This window comes from Homo sapiens, chromosome 6 (assembly GCF_000001405.40).
Source record: "Homo sapiens chromosome 6, GRCh38.p14 Primary Assembly".
NCBI classification, from domain to species: Eukaryota; Metazoa; Chordata; class Mammalia; order Primates; family Hominidae; genus Homo; species Homo sapiens.
The window spans coordinates 98,784,954-98,802,544 of NC_000006.12; the positions used below are offsets into that span (position 1 = coordinate 98,784,954).

At 37.5% G+C, this 17,591-nt stretch overlaps 2 annotated features.

Annotated features, from left to right (window-relative positions):
* Positions 2,809 to 3,309: an enhancer, noted in NCBI's record as "H3K4me1 hESC enhancer chr6:99235638-99236138 (GRCh37/hg19 assembly coordinates)". NCBI's record gives its function as "activates a minimal SCP1, AML or CMV promoter by ChIP-STARR-seq in primed H9 embryonic stem cells {active_cell/tissue: H9 hESC(primed)}" and the evidence as "EXISTENCE:reporter gene assay evidence [ECO:0000049][PMID:30033119]".
* Positions 3,310 to 3,810: an enhancer, noted in NCBI's record as "H3K4me1 hESC enhancer chr6:99236139-99236639 (GRCh37/hg19 assembly coordinates)". NCBI's record gives its function as "activates a minimal SCP1, AML or CMV promoter by ChIP-STARR-seq in primed H9 embryonic stem cells {active_cell/tissue: H9 hESC(primed)}" and the evidence as "EXISTENCE:reporter gene assay evidence [ECO:0000049][PMID:30033119]".

Consider the following 17,591-nt stretch of genomic DNA (forward strand, 5'->3'; position numbering starts at 1 on the left):
TGAAAAAGTAAGAATGTCCAAAAAAAAGAGAGAGCACGGAGCCTGAACTGACAAAGCTATTCGTACTTATAGATTTGGAGAAAAAAGAGAAGAGGTGGGAGGTGAAACTGGAGATATGGGCAGAAGCCATATCCCATAGGGATTTATACCATGTTTAAAAGTTTGGTTTCTGTCCTAAATCCAAAAACAATGCCGCTAAATGATGTTAGAAGAGAAAATGATATGGTGTACAAAGACCATTATGGCTGTTGTATGCAGCCTGGATAACAAGAGGACAAGAATAAAGGCAGCAGGACCAGTTAGCAAGTGAGTGCCATTAGGGAAGTAAAGGGTAATAATAGTGGCCTGATGTAAGGGAGTGGCAATGTGGGAAAATGAGAAGGACAAATTTAAAAGGTATTTAGGTAGGAAGCACAGAACCTAGGGATCGTGGTAAGGAGGGGAAGCGGAAAAAGAGCTGTCTGGATTGACTACCATATTTCTGATTTGACAAATGTTGGGTGTTTTCTTTTTTTTTTTCTAGCAGGGCACAGCTTTCTGGTGTAGGAGTGGAGGATCCAAAGAGCTGAATTTAAGCAGGGTTGGGATTCTGCAGGTGTGTGGGACCCTGAAGCATATTGGGGGAAGTTGCTGGAAAGAGAACAATTAAAAGAGTAAAGTATAAAACCTAATTTAAGTAGGGAAGAAAAGAGAGAGAGACGTTAGAAGGTAAGGGGTTCAAGGAATTGGAGGTCCTTATTAGGCTGCAGAAGAGATGACAGTGAGTGAGAAAAGAAAAAATATGGATGTGGTCAGTCAGCAAACTGACATGTTGAAACAGCAGAGTTGGAGCAGTTCAATAGTACCTAATATATAAAGTGATGCCAAAGGGATGGCATGACCTATGATAACACCAGGGTACTAAATAGTGAATAGTAACTAATGTAGAATGGAGAAAAACATCAAAAATAGAAAGGGTATCACCATAAAGTCAATGGGATGTTGAATCAGAGAAGAGGTACACAGTCGAATGAGGAAGAGTATTGGAAACAATGTCTGCCCTTCTCTCCCTTCCTTTACCCTCCTTTTCCCTCCAGCGGAGGAGGTTTGGTGACTTGATTGCTCTCAGCAATATTACAAAAAACTATTTTTACCTGGTATCCAGGCACTGAGAATCAAGAAGACCAAAACCCAGTGTTCATAGCCTATTCTCATGAAACCTGAAGAACCCTCATCCATGCTAACCACATAAGGCTGCAGGCCTGTGAAATGCTGTGGTGTCTGGATAACGTACACCAGAAAAGGGGAGGGGCATAATATTTCCTCCCACACAAAGGTCTTTATCCAATCATTCATTCAAAAATTATTTATTGAGTGCCAATTATGTGCCAGCCATACAGTATGGAGCAGGATAGATGTCATCGCATCTAGTAAGAAGTTCAGACCTTGTCTCCAGGGATTTTTAAAACCACGATTCCAGCCCGCAGAGTAAAAAATCATGTCTGTGTTGGTCGGAGAAAAGACACAAAACTGGCAATGCAACTGAGGAATCAATAAATAAATCTAATCTGTGAGGATTTTTTGTTTAGAAATAAACAAATTACCCACTTCTCACTATCTTTTTGCACTAATACCTTGAAAAAATGTAAATTGGACAGTGTAAACATGCAAAATTGTTGGCATGTAGGAGAGAATTTTTCTACTTTTCTAAAGATTCAAGACTCGTTTTTGAGTCCTAAAAACAAACACATTAAGGACAGAAGAAGAATCATAATACTGTATATGTAACCCAAATAAGTTATAATTTTAAGTAAATAACATCATATATACAATATAATAACCTAATAATTAGATATGAGACCATATTTATTTTAACTCCTTCCCTAATAACAAGTAGAAGATGTCTAACCCACAACAGTCATAGAAATAGCTAGTCCTTTTTTTTCGTTTTCCAAAAAAAATCACCCTGAAAATTGTTTACTAGTAGAATGATTCAAATTTCTCTTCTCCATTGATAGTGGATTTTATTTTAGTAAATTTATAAACATACAGCTTATTAAAATGTTCAGTCTCAGCAAAGCCTACAGAACATCAAAATTTTAATGCCAAATAAATCACAAAAAAGTAAAATCGTTTTTAGTTATACCAGCATAGCTACAGCACTCAGCTTAAAGCTACAGGAAAAGATGGAAAGTGTTCTCTATCTGCCTGCTTATCATCTTATTTACCAAAACCCTGCTTGAACTTATTATTTTACATCAGGCTATCGTCATTTTAGCAGACTAAGACTTGGCCTACATGTTACTGAATAAAGTATATGGCATCTGTGGTCTTCATAGAAATAATAATGAGGAAGAATCTCATATATGTGTATATGTATTTATGATTTACATATATACAGACGTATCACACACTCCGAATAGAATACAGATTTCCTTCAATGACAGCAACAACTCAATGACCCGCCCACTAGCATGGCTAAAATACTAAACCACTAGATAGCTTTATGTGAACTTGAGCTTGATTGTTTCTTAGCTCTGCTTCAGAACCTCATGATCATGTGCATGCAATTTCTACAGAAGCGGAAACGTAGATGCTGTGGGTCAGTGAGCATTCCTTTCCAGGGTGCTTCTGAGATGAAGCCCCACGATTAACACAGGGCCCTTAATGATGGGCGGGGGACTAAGCATTCCAAGATTGGCCTGGATTCCTGCCAGAAGGGAGAGAAAGGGGTCTTTGTATGTGGACATCTGAAGGGCGGGCATAAACATGTTAGTTGATACTTAACACCCAAAACCAGTGCCAAAACCGTTAGCTCCCCTCAATAGCCTACTCTGGTTTCAACTGTCCGCGACAATGGAGCAGCCACCTCAATATACAAAACTTGCTCTTTAAACATCCTCAGAGGAATTCCCAAAATAGCAGCTGTTAGAAGCAAACAGACTCTAATTCATTGACATATGCAGACCTTTTAATGTTTTTCTGGTGACGTTTACATTTTTTTTTGTACCTACGCCATCTATGCATTTTTAATAATTACCTTGTAGATTACGTATGCAATCCCTCCAGGCACTTGAAGAAGGAGCCCCGGGATTCATCATCAGATGAAATTGTTAGTTTTTACGGCAAGAGGCCCAGCTAATTTATGCGGGGAATTTTTCAGACGTTTTTCCTCTGGGCTCCCTTCCCTGCTGTCCTCGCGCCTTTCTTCCTCAGTACATTAAGAGATTCTGATGTGCCTGCAGCAACATCCGCCAGTGGTGGCTGACTGTAGAGATGCCAGCCAGACTTCCCTGCGGAGGAGCCCGGCCATGTGGGCCGCCTCGGCAGAGCGCGCTCCCTCGGAATCCCCTCTGGGATCCCCCTTCCACCAGAGCTGAATCTAATCTCACACCTTCAATAACTTTTGTGGGCTCAGTTTAGTTTCTGGCAGACAGTTATCTGTGTTACATAAATTCCACACGAAAAGTAAGCAACCTCCTATCTCTAGAGAACCATTGGCCAGGCAAGTTGCTGCTGCAGAGGCAGCTCCAGAAACTTCGGCTTATAAGTGGCCATGTGCAGCCAGATAAGAGAATAAAATGTTGTATTTGCAGTGCAAAGGGCTTTGATTCCCCTCTCCCCAGGTTTATTCATGCAAAATATTAACAGCAACTCTACATTAAGAGGCCGTTGGGTGATAGATATATGTGTGTCTGTGTGCGTGTGTGTGTGTGTGTGTGGTGTGTGTGTGTATATACATATATATATATGAGACAATTCGATAGATGACAGATGGTTAGTACATTTTTTAATGAACCAGGATGTAACTCTGAAATGTCAGTTTTCAACAAGCAGCTTGATTGTGGCTACTACAGGACATTAGCATCAATATGGATGCTTATTTAGGAAAGCAAAATCCTTGCAAGCCTCAGCAGCTCTAAATGGAAAATTATTCCTAATAAGGAAATCATTTAATGGGTACGACTACAAAACACTATTAAAAGTGAAACTATTTAATATATTTATAAAATGAAGTCTCTCCAAGAATACATATAATAGTGTTTAAATTTCAATATGATAATACATAACCTGGATATTACTAAGATGTAAAACTTTATTACTCTTAATTACCTTTAATAATTTTTTAATCATCAAACACCATAATTGTTTTACAGAGTGGTATTATTTGGAAGAACTTTTGTTTAATAAACTCCTTTCTTTATTTGTAGTAGAATAATAGTGATACAGTGAGGAATGACAAACTTTTGGTATCACTTAGAATTCTGATAAAGGTGAATGCAGACATTACAAACTTAACAAGTCTTTTGTGTGACCTAATTGCATTAGAATATATTAGCAAGGTTGCATAGTGTAGGTTTTATGTTCCATTAGAAAGGTCATCACCGATTTGGGTTGAATCGTTAAAGATAGGAGACCACATTAGCAGAGTGCTCTTCGAGGGGCTGAAGGATGAATATACTTTGCTTCATTAGCATTATCTCATTGTAACGCAATATTCTAATTCTACAGTAGGAAGAGACAATAGGAGAGCTCCGAATCCCCAGATTCCACATTCCTCTTATTATAAACCTATGGGTAATTGCACCATGCCATTGTTTCTCTAAAACGTAAACCTAATACAGTAAAAGAAGCCAACTTATTTGTTTTTCTGATTATAATCAAAGATATCAGCTCCATGACATGCTAAATCATAGACCTTACCCTCCAAACTGTCCTGTTCTTTTTAGCATTTGAATTGCTGTTTTAAAAGGTCTTATGCTATTTTAAAACAGCACAATTTTAAATTCCAGAGTTATTGAATCAAATACATTACAAGATGTCTATGTATAAATCTTAAATGTTTTTATGGATTTTACAAAAACATAAGCCTCAATAATCTTCAATTGGTGTTACTTATAATTACCCCGGAAGGAAATTTTAGTTGCTATATTTCTATCACTAATGGCAAAGAGACATAAATGTACCTGGTGATTAATCCTGGTAAGAATTTTGTTAGTATCCTTAATATCTACAAAAAGAATAACAAACTATCCTGTCATTTAATCTTCAGATTACATGGGCAGACAGACCCTTGTGTTTGACTCTTTTCTGTTACAAAGAACAAAAATATGCAGATTATCTTACATAATGAGCTTCACTATAAGGTTGCCAAGAGAGTAAGGAAGCACGAAAATCTTGTAAGGAAGCTGAACATCACTTATGCTGCCACTGCAATGTCAAAAGCTTCACAGCAGCTCCAGGGGTCTGCCATTTGTGTGCCTCGGTTTCCCTCTCCTCTGTTTCATGGCTTCTGCTTGTCTGCTTTCAGGGCATCACCTCACTTCAGAGCCACTCTTTTGGTCTCCACCTCTTTTTGCACATTTTCAAGTCAACCACCCTAAGAGCAAAGATAGTCATTGGAGTAATTAATCCTTATCCAGGTTAGAACAACCATAAAGGATGGCGTTCTTCTCAGCCCATCTCAAATGCTGACCTAGAATATGGCCTTTAACTCAGTTACTGACCCCAGGCCCAACTCTGGCTGTGGCCTTAGTAGTAAGGTCACATGACAAAGCAGTAAATGTTTATACAAGGAACTACTTGCTTATAAAGGGACTATGGATATGAGGTGAGCACCCAAAGCATGACGAGCATTCGTAACCTCAATACACAACACAGAATACCTCACCGGAGAATACAGCCTCAAACTGCCTACCATCCACAGGAGAAGAACTGAAAGGACTTGCTAGCTGTCCATTCCTCTAGAGCAACAGTCCCCAACCTTTTTGGCAAGGGTGGGGCAAAGGGAAGAGGGGGACCTGGGGGATGTTTTTGGGATGAAATTCTTCCACCTCAGATCACCAAAGCATTAGTTAGATTCTCGTAAAGAGCGAGCACCTAGATCCCTCCATGTGCAGTTCACAATAAGGTTCCTGCTTCTGTGAGAGTCTAATGCCACCACTGATCTGACAGGAGATCATGCTCAAGTAGTAATGCTCACTTGCCCACTGCTCACCTCCTGCTGTGTGGCCAGTTTCCTAACAGGCCATGAACTAGTACTGATTCGCAGCTCAGGGGTTGGGGACTCCTACTCTAGAGGGACCAAGGTGCATATCAAAAACTCTCATTAGTGCCATATTGTCTTGATTCTTTATGGAACTGCTTATACTGGGATACTTTTTTTGTAGTCTGCCTTTAGCTTTCGTATTAATTGAGAGGAAACAAAAAGCCTTCTTTTTGGAAATCTTTTATTTCATTGCCTATAAGAATATTATTGAGAGCACCATTCAGGCCCTTCTTATATGTATTTCTATGAAGGAAATTTCTTTTAGGGCTATGTGCTCAGAATCGTTTTCTGTGCCCCAGAGAAAGTGTTTGTTTGATCATCTTGAACAGTTACCCAATTCTGCCTTTTCACTCAAGCCACTAGGAAGCTTAAACCTTAATATAGAGCACAACTGTTACAACTGTGCCCTATCTTGTTTCTGATCTTGACTCTTCTTCTAATTCCTATTTTCCTTAAGCCTATTTTTAATATTTTGTATTTTACCATTCTTCTTGTAAATTGAATCCCTTGAGAAAATAGAGTATAATAAATAACATTTTTGAAAGACACAAATGGCAAATAGCCTAAGACACAAGAAAAAACCATGATATTTTATCCTATCATACTAAATTTCTGAGACAGCCGCAAAGATCCCCTGATATCTGTCTGTTCCATTAAACTAAGAATTTAGTTCAAAACCACTGCAGAGGAAGACCTGATCATAAACAACCATTGTAAATATCAGAAGCAATTTTATATCTGAAAAATGTCACAAGTATTCGAACTCTATCTACTTCAAAAGATCAATTTAAATTATCATAACTAGTACCTAATCCTATAAAATGTATAGTCAACACCATTTCTCATGGCAATCTTGCTGAGGAAAATATTATACAGAAATAAAAAAAAAAACAAATTAAAACTGACCACATAGTGTTGATATTAATAGGAAGACATACATTGCCCATCTTTTGTTAATAAAAGGGAAAGAGGAATAATCAGCATGATTAGGAGCCTTTCTTGTTAAAAGCAAACAAAAAAAAGCTTGAAATGTTTCAAAACCCTATTTCTAGTGTTGTTTCTATAGATCAGTAAGCTATAGTGAATAAATAATTTGTAGTTTTAATGGAAGAATGATATGCTATAAGAATAAATGTTTATTACAGTCTCTGCTTCTCCAGTGTCCTGAATAAGGGTTTGTCTGAGACTACCTAATGTTTTATTTTTTTATTTTTTTATCATTATTTTTTTGAGACGGAGTCTCACTGTGTCACCCAGGCTGGACTGCAAGTGGCACAATCTTGGCTCACTGCAACCTCCACCTCCCAGGTTCAAGCAATTTTCCTGCCTCAGCCTCAGAGTAGCTGGGATTACAAGCACCTGCCACCAGGCCTGGCTAAGTTTTTCTATATTTTTAGTAGAGACAGGGTTTCACCAAGTCGGCCAGGCTGCTCTTGAACTCCCGACCTCAGGTGATCCACCTGCCTTGGCCTCCCAAAGTTAATGTTCTATTTAACCCTAAACCACCATTGATCTCCACAAAGAGGTCCCAGTCAAATGCACCCAGAATTATACCAGCTGCAGGTCTAACAAAAAAAACTTTCTCAGATTGCGCTAAACAGTCATTTTTGTGTTACTTTTTCAAATATAGTCCTTTATATCTTACACACACAGACAGACTTCCTGGTATTCTTCTTCCAGACAAACTAAGATAATTTGCTACATCCGTAGATCCAGGTGACATGCTACCTCACAAAATCAAACAAGAATAATAAAAGTAAAAAGAAATTTTCATTTAAGGCAGAAGAATTTTTAAAGTGATAAAAGAGACTCCCAAGTTCTATATCTCTCTCTAGTGAAGATGAAAATCATGTTAAACACCAAATACACTTGTCTAATTACATCAGGAAATACTGTTCTGTATTTGCTAATGAAATGTGATGGTACTGTATTCACTGAGAGCCAAAACAAAGTGAAGATATAACATTCTAATTACAAAAAGGCACTTGGTAAAGTGGTTGTATGCTTTGAACTGTAATAAAAATTAATAAAATTATGTAAATACAAACAGTTACTGAAAATGTGGCACTCTAATTTTAGAAAAGCCACAGAACATAATGACTTAAGAAACTTCAAACCATTTATAACCTCATTCAGTTCACAGAGAAGACTAATGAGAAAATGTTTGTCTAAAAGGCTAATATTTGTTTTAATATATTTACTTCATTGCTCTAAGTATGAAAGCCACCCCATATTCTTTCGGCAGTAAGGGTAAAATCCTAAATAAATGAATATGTAAGCACAAATTTCCCATCCCCAAGCGTTTTGCAATCTTCCAGCTAAGTTGCCACTGATGCATTCATAAATGTCTTAATGGCCTTACTATGTGGAATCCTGTTATAATGCAGGAGCCAGAGGACACTCAGAAACCCCATACTTTATGCTTTCCAGGTTAGAGGAAAAGAGATGCACCACACATCACTATGTACACAGAGAACATGATTGGACCTCCATGATCAAATCCTTGCTATAACCAGGTGCCTTGTAATAGGTTTTTATCATAGCTGGCACTTACTGATTCTCCACAGTAGGCTTTGTTCTGTACTAATTTTCCATCCTGAAATCTCTTTATAGCATTCATGTTGACTCAAGAAATGCAGTGTCTTTAAAATTAAACTTAGGAATATATGTTCTATTAAATTTTCTTATAATTTAAACATGAAACTCATTATTAAAATTCATATAGCATTTCTCTACATATTAATTCTTTAAAATTAATATTTTCATTGACTATGACCAAGATCAGTGAAGGGATAAGCTTTCTAACTTTCATCACTTAACAGTATCTTGTCCAAGAAGTGAATACGCCTCTAAACCAAATAAGCAATTTTAAAACTCTTCAAATGTTGTGTCTCTGAACTGTCTGAATAAATACCATATTCTTTACTAACAGTCTTCAACGATAAATGTACTTATTCTCAATATACTTACTCAAGGAGTTGTAAAGGGACCAGAGATAATTTAAAAGGTCCCTACTTTAGTATGCAGGGAAAAAAAATACTACTTCAAGTCTGAAAATATATAATGGAGAGTATATCTTCCATTTGGGTCTGATTACTTTTTGTAATCTACTGGGAGTTAATATAAGAGCACATATCTTCTGTACTTCTATAGAAGAAGTCTCCCCAAAGGTAGGTATAAGAATTATACCATCTGCAGAGGATGTGAATTTACTCTGGTAAAATTGCTACAAATATACAATGAAAATTATCTGTATAATTTTGTGAATGAAAATTGGAAAGATATTATTTTCAGTCACTCTTAGGATGTGATGATGTAACAGTGAAGGACCTACTTAATCCATAAAAATATATCATTTATTTTGCTTTTAACATGGATCTTTAAAAAGAATACTTCAAATATCTAATATACTGTAACAAAATGGGAATAGTATTTAAAACAGCCGGATTAAACATCTAAATAATAAATATCACATGGCACTGCACATCTGTTCTTTGTAGTGTTTTCTGGTAATGCAGCATAGTGCGGCATTTCAGCAAACCAATTCAAACATAAGGATCGCTACAGAGCAAAAGCTCTTGTCACTGTTTGTGATTGTCTAATGGTATATGGTCCAATCATAAAGGGCAGCTGACAGGCTGGTATAAGAAATGAATTTTCTTCTTCCTCCTGACACATCAGAGTAAGGCCCCCTGCTGTAATGCAGAAAATCTTTTATGCAAAAAGAATACACCGTCTTTCAACACATGATTACTATTCAGAAGATTCTGACTAGGGTTTTTTTTGGTGCATTTTTTAAAATACCCATACAAAATTGCACAAAGAGCAAACCAGGTCTAGGCTTATACATTATCTCTCCTCTTCAGTCATTCTGTGACCTGGTGCAAATTATCTTTTTTCTCAATACCTTCATTTCCCCATCTTTGAAATGGGGATGATAATAATAAAATATGGTTCCTTTCCTAGAATAAAATGAGAATTGATTAATATTTTAGTGTCAAGGAAGCAGTGTTACCTTTTCAAACACTTAAAGAAATAACAATCATACTAAAAGCCCCAAAGTAAATTGAAAATGTTGCATAATGTAACATTTTAAATTTTAAATATTTTAGATATGTTGCCTAAAATGTAAATATTTTCACTCTCCTTGTCACAGACAACTCAAAAAGCAAGCCTAGTGGATAAGTCCATGGAAGAACATGGTGCCTGTAAGAGTGAAAACTAAATATTTATCATCTGTAAACTATGTGTTAAGAACTTTGGTAAATACTTTACATTTATTTTCTCATTTAATCCTCACAACTTCTCTATGAAGTAAGCACTACTGTTAATTTCATTTTATAAATGAGAAACCTGAATCTTAGAAAGTTTTTAAAAATTGTCTCCTAGTTAAAATAGCCATGGGTGGGAGAATGTTTTGAACTTTTTAAGTATTCAGATACTTTTTAAGTATCCAGTAGTCAAGCTAGAGTCCACCCCAGCCTTCACTGTCAACTACTATGCTATGTGATATTTATTCACTTGATGAGGTAGACAGTATTTATGGGGAGGACGAGAAGGTGAAAAAAATATGAGGAGAATTTTGAGCTGGAGAAGACATAAGACACTGGTGCTCACCCAGGACAGACAACTCCGTCCTCTCAATAAAGCACAATTGGAGAGTGACTCCAAGAGGAGAGAGACATTTAGGTGAGCTGAGGGGCAGGTGGGGAAGGTTTGTCAGAGCAGGGAGCAGGCTTCGTGGGCCTCAACTAAATTGGACTGAGACTCATGGAGAAATGGGGAAAAGGATTGGGCAGGCGGAGTTCCCCTGGGAGAGTCAAGTACGATTATGCCAATAACAGAGGCGAGGCAGAGGTTGGGAGGCAGGCTGGAGGCACGCTAGTCACCTGGGAAAGGAACCTCTGAAGGAAAGAGGTACTAATGAATGTGATTTATGTGAGTTCATGTTCATAAGGCTGTATAAATGCAAGTTGTTATTGCTTGAGGAGGCTTAAATTCACCAGAAGGAAAGTGTTACATAAGAGAGACATAGGAATAAGATATTCTGTGCAAATTAACTGAGGCTGCTATTCTGTGGCTAACAACATCCTACCTCCGGCTGAGTATCCTATTACCTAGTCTGAGATGGTCGGGGAATAGATCAGCGGTACTTTCAAGAGGTGGGGAAAGAAATCTCCAAAGCACACCCTGACAGAGACAGAGGTGCTGCTGGAGCTTTTAAGAACAAGAAAGAGCCTCCTCCTCTGGCGAAGGAGTGGGCTAACCAATAGAAATGCTCGAAGGGAGTTTAGGAGTGAAGGGGGCACCCCAGGAGTGCTCCCTGAATGGAGGGAGCATCCACAGAAGATGCTCACAGCACAGGCTTAAATGTGAGTTTGAGGACCTCTAACTTGATTAAAATGTCAACTTTTATCCTCATATCCCAGGGTTGCTTAAACTGAGGTCTGTGGGAATATTCTGAAAAATCTGAGTTTTTAAGTTCAAGAAATGCTGTCAAGTGCACACTACTTGGGTGACGGATTCACTAAAATCCCATAAATCAACACTAAAGAACTTATCCATGTAACCAAAATCTACCTGTACCCCCCAAAATGATTGATATTAAAAAAAAGAACTGCTGTCAAACACCAAAATCCTTCTGAGATTACCTAATTTTTTTTAAAAATGTATGCATCTGGGGGCCGTTTTATGAAAAAGAATAAAAAGCTATGAACAAAAATTATATACCAAAGTGAGTATGTAAGGAGCTTTGAAGGTTAAGCACAGCCTTTGCTCAGGCAGGGACAGAAAACAGAGCAGGCAGTGAGTGTCAGGCCTTCCACTCCACCTCATTATTTGAAAAAGATACTTGCACACACATGTTTATAGCAGCACAATTCACAATAGCAAAATTGTGCAACCAACCCAAAAGCCCATCAATCAATGAGTGGAAAAAGAAACTGTGGTATATATATACAATAGAATACTACTCAACCATAAAAAGGAATAAATTGACAGCATTTGCAGTAACCTGGATGAGATTTGAGACTTATTCTAAGTGAAGTAACTCAGGAATGGAAAACCAAACATCATATGTTCTCACTGATATGTGGGAGCTAAGGTATGAGGACACAAAGGCATCAGAATGATACAATAGACTTTGGGGACTTGAGGGGAAGAGTGGGAGGGGGGTGATGGATAAAAGACACAAATATGGTGCCGTGTATACTGCTCAGGTGATGGGTGCACCAGGATCTCACAAATCTCTACTAAAGAAATTATGTAACCAAATACCACCTGTACCCCAACAACTTATGGAAAAAAATAAATTTACAAAATATAAATAAATAGATTAGATTAATTCACCATGTTGAAAACTGTTAGGATTCTGACTCATTTCTAAGTAATGTCAGTAAAACTGGGATGATATCCCTTAGGAAGAGGTCACTGTTGAGTTAGTTTAATGACTCGTATGTTGTTTGAGGTGATTTTTTTATATATTCAGAGGAAATATGTGTTGAATCTTTTAGGAAGTCTCGTAAAAGCTATTGCATAGGATTCTGAAGACGAATGCTATAAAGTGTAAATTAAACACCAAACTAAAGTTATTATAATAGAAAAGAAACTAGGGACAAATCCCAGTTTCATGGAACCTTGGACATTTACAAGTTGGGATCCTCTTTAAGAAAAATTTTTAAAATTATGAATAAAATGTATATACAAAAGCAAACATTTTCAAATGAAGCTAGTAGACGCCCTGGCAAATAAGGGGTCTTGAAGGTTTAGCATCATTAACTTCACAGTAAATCCACCTCCTGGAAGGAGCTATAAATTATCATGCTCCTTCATCTTCTGAGTCACACAACACGGGGCCTGAGATCCTTTCACGGGAATAAATTAAAGGTTATCTTTCCTCATAATTAGGGCAGAAATAAAGAGAGGTTAGTTGGCATTAAAATGAACATGTCAAAATGATTCCTGTAAGCAACCAAAAATCAGGAATGCAACAATGAGGCAGGACTTAGGGGTAACTCATGAGTAATTCTGCAATTTAAAAAAATTTAATCAGCATCATTTATTAGAAAATAACATAAAGTTAAAAATTCAATTGTTCTGCTCTCGTGTGTGTCTGTGTGTGTGTGTGTGTGTGTGTGTGTGTGTGTGTGTATTATACAATTCTACTCCTAGGTATGAATATGTGTATATATATTGGAACAATTTTGCACTTATCTACCAGGAGACATGTACAAGAACATTCAGAGCAATGTTGTATGTAATAGCAAATAATGATCATTTTTAAAACCTACATAACCACTGCCAGAGTAGAAATAACTGTGATTTATTCACTTGGTGGAATATTAGACAGCATTGAAGAGAGACTGATTATGGGTACAAATGTACAGTTTGATAGAAAAAATAAGACCTACTGTTTGATAGATCAATAGGGTGACTATAGTTTACAATAATCAATTGTGTATTTCAAAATAGCTGGATGAGAGTAATTCGAATGTTTCTAGCATAAAGAAAAAACAAATAAAACAAATATTTACGGCGATGAATATCTCAATCACACTGATTTGACCCTTACAAATTATATGAATGTGAGGCCGGGGTCGGTGGCTCACGCCTATAATCCCAGCACTTTTCGAGGCCGAGGCGGGCGGATCACAAGGTCAGGAGATCGAGACCATCCTGGCGAACACGGTGAAACCCCGTCCTCTACTAAAAATACAAAAAAATTAGCCGGGCATGGTGGTGGGCTCCTGTGGTCCCAGCTACTCTGGAGGCTGAGGCAGGAGAATGGCGTGAACCTGGGAGGCGGAGCTTGCAGTGAGCTGAGATCGCGCCTCTGCACTCCAGCCTGGGCGACAGAGCAAGACTCTGTCTCAAAAAAAAAAAAGTTAGCAATTTGAATACAAATTATATGAATGTATTATCATATGTATTCTGAAATTATGTGCATCTATTATGTATCAACAAAAAAACACCATTTTAAAAAAGAAAATGCACAACCATAGAGATCAATCTTAGACACCACAATATTGAAGAGGAAAAAAAGGCAAGTCACAGAGGACTACATAAAATACTGCATATTCTCACTTCTCAGTGGAAGCTAAACATTGAGTACATATGGACGTAAAGAAGGGAACAACAAACACCGGAGCCTACTGAGGGTGGAGGGTGAGAGAAGGGTGAGGATCGAAAAACTACCTATTGGGTACTATACTTATTACCTCAGTGAAAAAATAATTTGTACACCAAATCCCTGCAGCACACAATTTACCTGTATAGCAAGCCTGCACATGTACCCCAGAACCTAAAATAAGTTTTAAAAAAAAATACATAAAGTATAATGTCTTTTTAATAAAGTTTAAATACAAGAAATACAAAACAATATATTCTGCAGAGACACATGTGTGGTGAAACCAATTTTTGAAGCAAGGAAAAGATTAATGCAAAATTCAATTTAGGAGTGACCTTTCAGAAAAGTGGATTTGGGCAGGAAATACACAAGTAGACACAAGGATACTGGCAATGTTCTACATTGAAGTAAGAAGACTGATTCAAGACTGTAGTTTTCATTACTAAGCTCAACGCCTTAGTTCTATTACATATATTGTCTGTACTTATCAAATAGTATATGTAACTATTTTAACCAATGAAAGTAAGGTTTAAATAGAGTATTTTAATTGTGTCTCATCATATTTTTGGTCACCTACACTACTTCATCTCTCAAACCTTGTTTGGGGGGAAAAATAAAACCAATATTCTGTTCAAACTATAATGCAATGGCTTTCAAATGATTTGACCACCAAACAAGCAGATGTGACGTTATTTATGCAATATATATATATATATATATATATATATAGAGAGAGAGAGAGAGAGAGAGAGAGAGCATATATTGGTATCTTTCAATTATTTAAAATTGTCTTTAATATCCACCTGTAGCAAAAGTTCTCCACATCATCACCAATGTAATTCTTCTAACACAAAACAACAGATGTCAACATGGCTCAGTTTAAACCTGTGCCAGGGCTTTTCATTGCCATGGAACGGATTCCCATCCTGACACTGCACATAGAATCATCCGTGACCAGGTCCTTCCTACCTCTCCCATCCCTTTTCTGATGTTTAGCTTGGCCTAGACAGAGGTCCTTGTAGCTGAGGCATTCTCTGGCTCTAGCTAATGAGATATGTATTTTTTTCCTTTTTTGCAAAGAACAAAAAAAGTATATGTATGAGTGTGTGTGTGTGTGTGTGTGTGTGTGTGTGTGTGTGTGTGTATTCTTCAGTTACCCTTGCCTTCTGTTGGCTTTAAGGACTAGCTTAATGCTCACTAATATTTCCCAGGCACTTCAAGTAGTTTGTTCTTTTTCATCCTTCAAGTATCAACTTAAATAGACCACCTCAGACTAACTGGACTAAATTAGATGGTCCTCATTTATTCTCCATCAGAGCACCCCATTTATTGCCTTTGCTGCATTTTGTAGTTTTTTTCTTTCTCTGTGTATGTGATGGTTGCTTGTTTCAGGTATGGGTGTGTACATTTCATATGGCAGGAGTCTTGTCTACCTTCTCCAATGATGTAAATTAGCATGCAGCATACTACATGGGACATGGTAAGTTTTTAACAAATATTGGCTAAATGTATGAATCCTTGGCTGTGTCCCCTTTCCTTTCGCTTCCCAAACCCTAATCTTGAGTCATTCTGAATCATTTGGCAAAACCCCCCAAACACCTAGTTTTGGTTCAAGCCTTGGTGCTGGCTCGGCCTTCTGCCTAATGAATGCCTAAATAGGTGTTGTGTTGTCTTTCAAGGCTCACTTCCAGCACCACCCCTGTTGTGAGGTAAGAATTACTGATTCTCCCCAAGGTAGGACCTGACAGTCTCCTCTAGGATCCTCATGATCACCACCATATATTTCAATCAGCTGACCTACCTATTCACACCTTATTTCAATTTCAGTTTTTGTTTAAATGTTATGCTGGTTATTTAGATTTTTTTCTCTACCCTTCTCAACTCTTCTCTGTGATGATGCGGCTGGGACTGAGGCAACTACATTTCCCAGATGCCTTCACCACTGCCTCCATGTTAGATTCTGTCAATAAGGGGACTAGGAGACAGGAAGGCAGGGGAGAGAGATGCCACTTGATCCTTTCCACTTGCTTGCAGTTCCTTCCCAGAGCAGCAGCTGATTCCATCTTCTCTTGGTGATCGCAGCCTCGTCATGAGCTTCATAGATATGAATGGCAGTTTTACAGGGCCCTTCTTTGAGCTTCTGGGGTCTGGTAACCCTAATCTCCTCCCTTGCGTTCCCTCACTTTTCAGGTGATAGGTGTTTTCTATAGTTATTAATACGTTCTCTCTGGGCTACCTCAGTCTCTCCTCTGTGATTTTCCAGGCTTCTAACACCTGTGCAATCAGTTCCTGATATTAAATTCTCTTTAAGATACCCAGAGTAACCTCCCCAGAACCTCTACCAAAAAAAAAAAAAAGAAAGAAAAAGAAAAAAAGATATCCAGTATAATATTTGATTTCCTACTGGACCTCATAGATATATCTACTTCCTACTCATAAGGATGGGAGTGCTCCTTGAAGATAAAGTACATTTCTGATTTATTTTTGTGTCAAGTCCTGGGGACAGAATATAGACTAAAGTAAATACTCTAAGTAAGTGTTGAATAAATGAGAGTAAGTGTTGAATAAATGAGTTAACGATTGATCCAGATAGTAGAGTATGAGGAACTCAGCCAAAGCAATGACAATGAAGATGGGAGGGAATTTGTGACTATAAAGTTAATGAGAAGCCAATTGTCATTTCAAATCCAAAAAATAAGTAGGAGATTGGGAATGGTCTGGTTTTCATTTAAAAAAAAATGTTACTTTCTCATTACTATTTGCAAATAACATGGCAGTGAAAATCTGTGTCACAAAATGTTTGTTCTCCAAGCTTCGACAATGATGTAATGCAGCCAAATTTCATTAAAAAACTCTGACTGTGTCCTGGAGTTTGTGGGGATAAAATTTGAACTACGACAGTGGAAAGAAAAGAAAACAATCTCTAGAGAAAGGAACCAATAGAAAATTGGTAAATTTTGCTTTGACTTTTACCCCGATAGAGAAAGAGACATGCAAAAAATACAAATTATTAAAGGGTTCAAAATCATTTTCACAATTCATTGAACTACGAATCCACAGTTGATTATCAGAAGTTATTTGGGAAGGCTTAGCATCCATCCCTCATCTTTTAGTTACACTAGCCAAAGGGCTCCCTGTGAAATTCCGTCAGCCAAACTCACAGCTTATTGCTCTGTTTCTCGGGCCACAGAGTAAATCTATTTTCTATTTGCGGATTAGCTGGTAGTGACTCTACACATTCTACACTCTTGTCCCTGTCACCCCTATTCCTGTCCCTGTCCATTCTCTGTATTGAATATGGAAGGTAAAAAGCAAATATGTCTCCTCCAGATAAATTGTCATGAGGTCTGAGAAAACAATAGAAAATAAAAGATAATACAACAACATATTTTTACAAGTTTGTAAAGCATCTAGTGTATTTCCTGTTACACAGCAGAT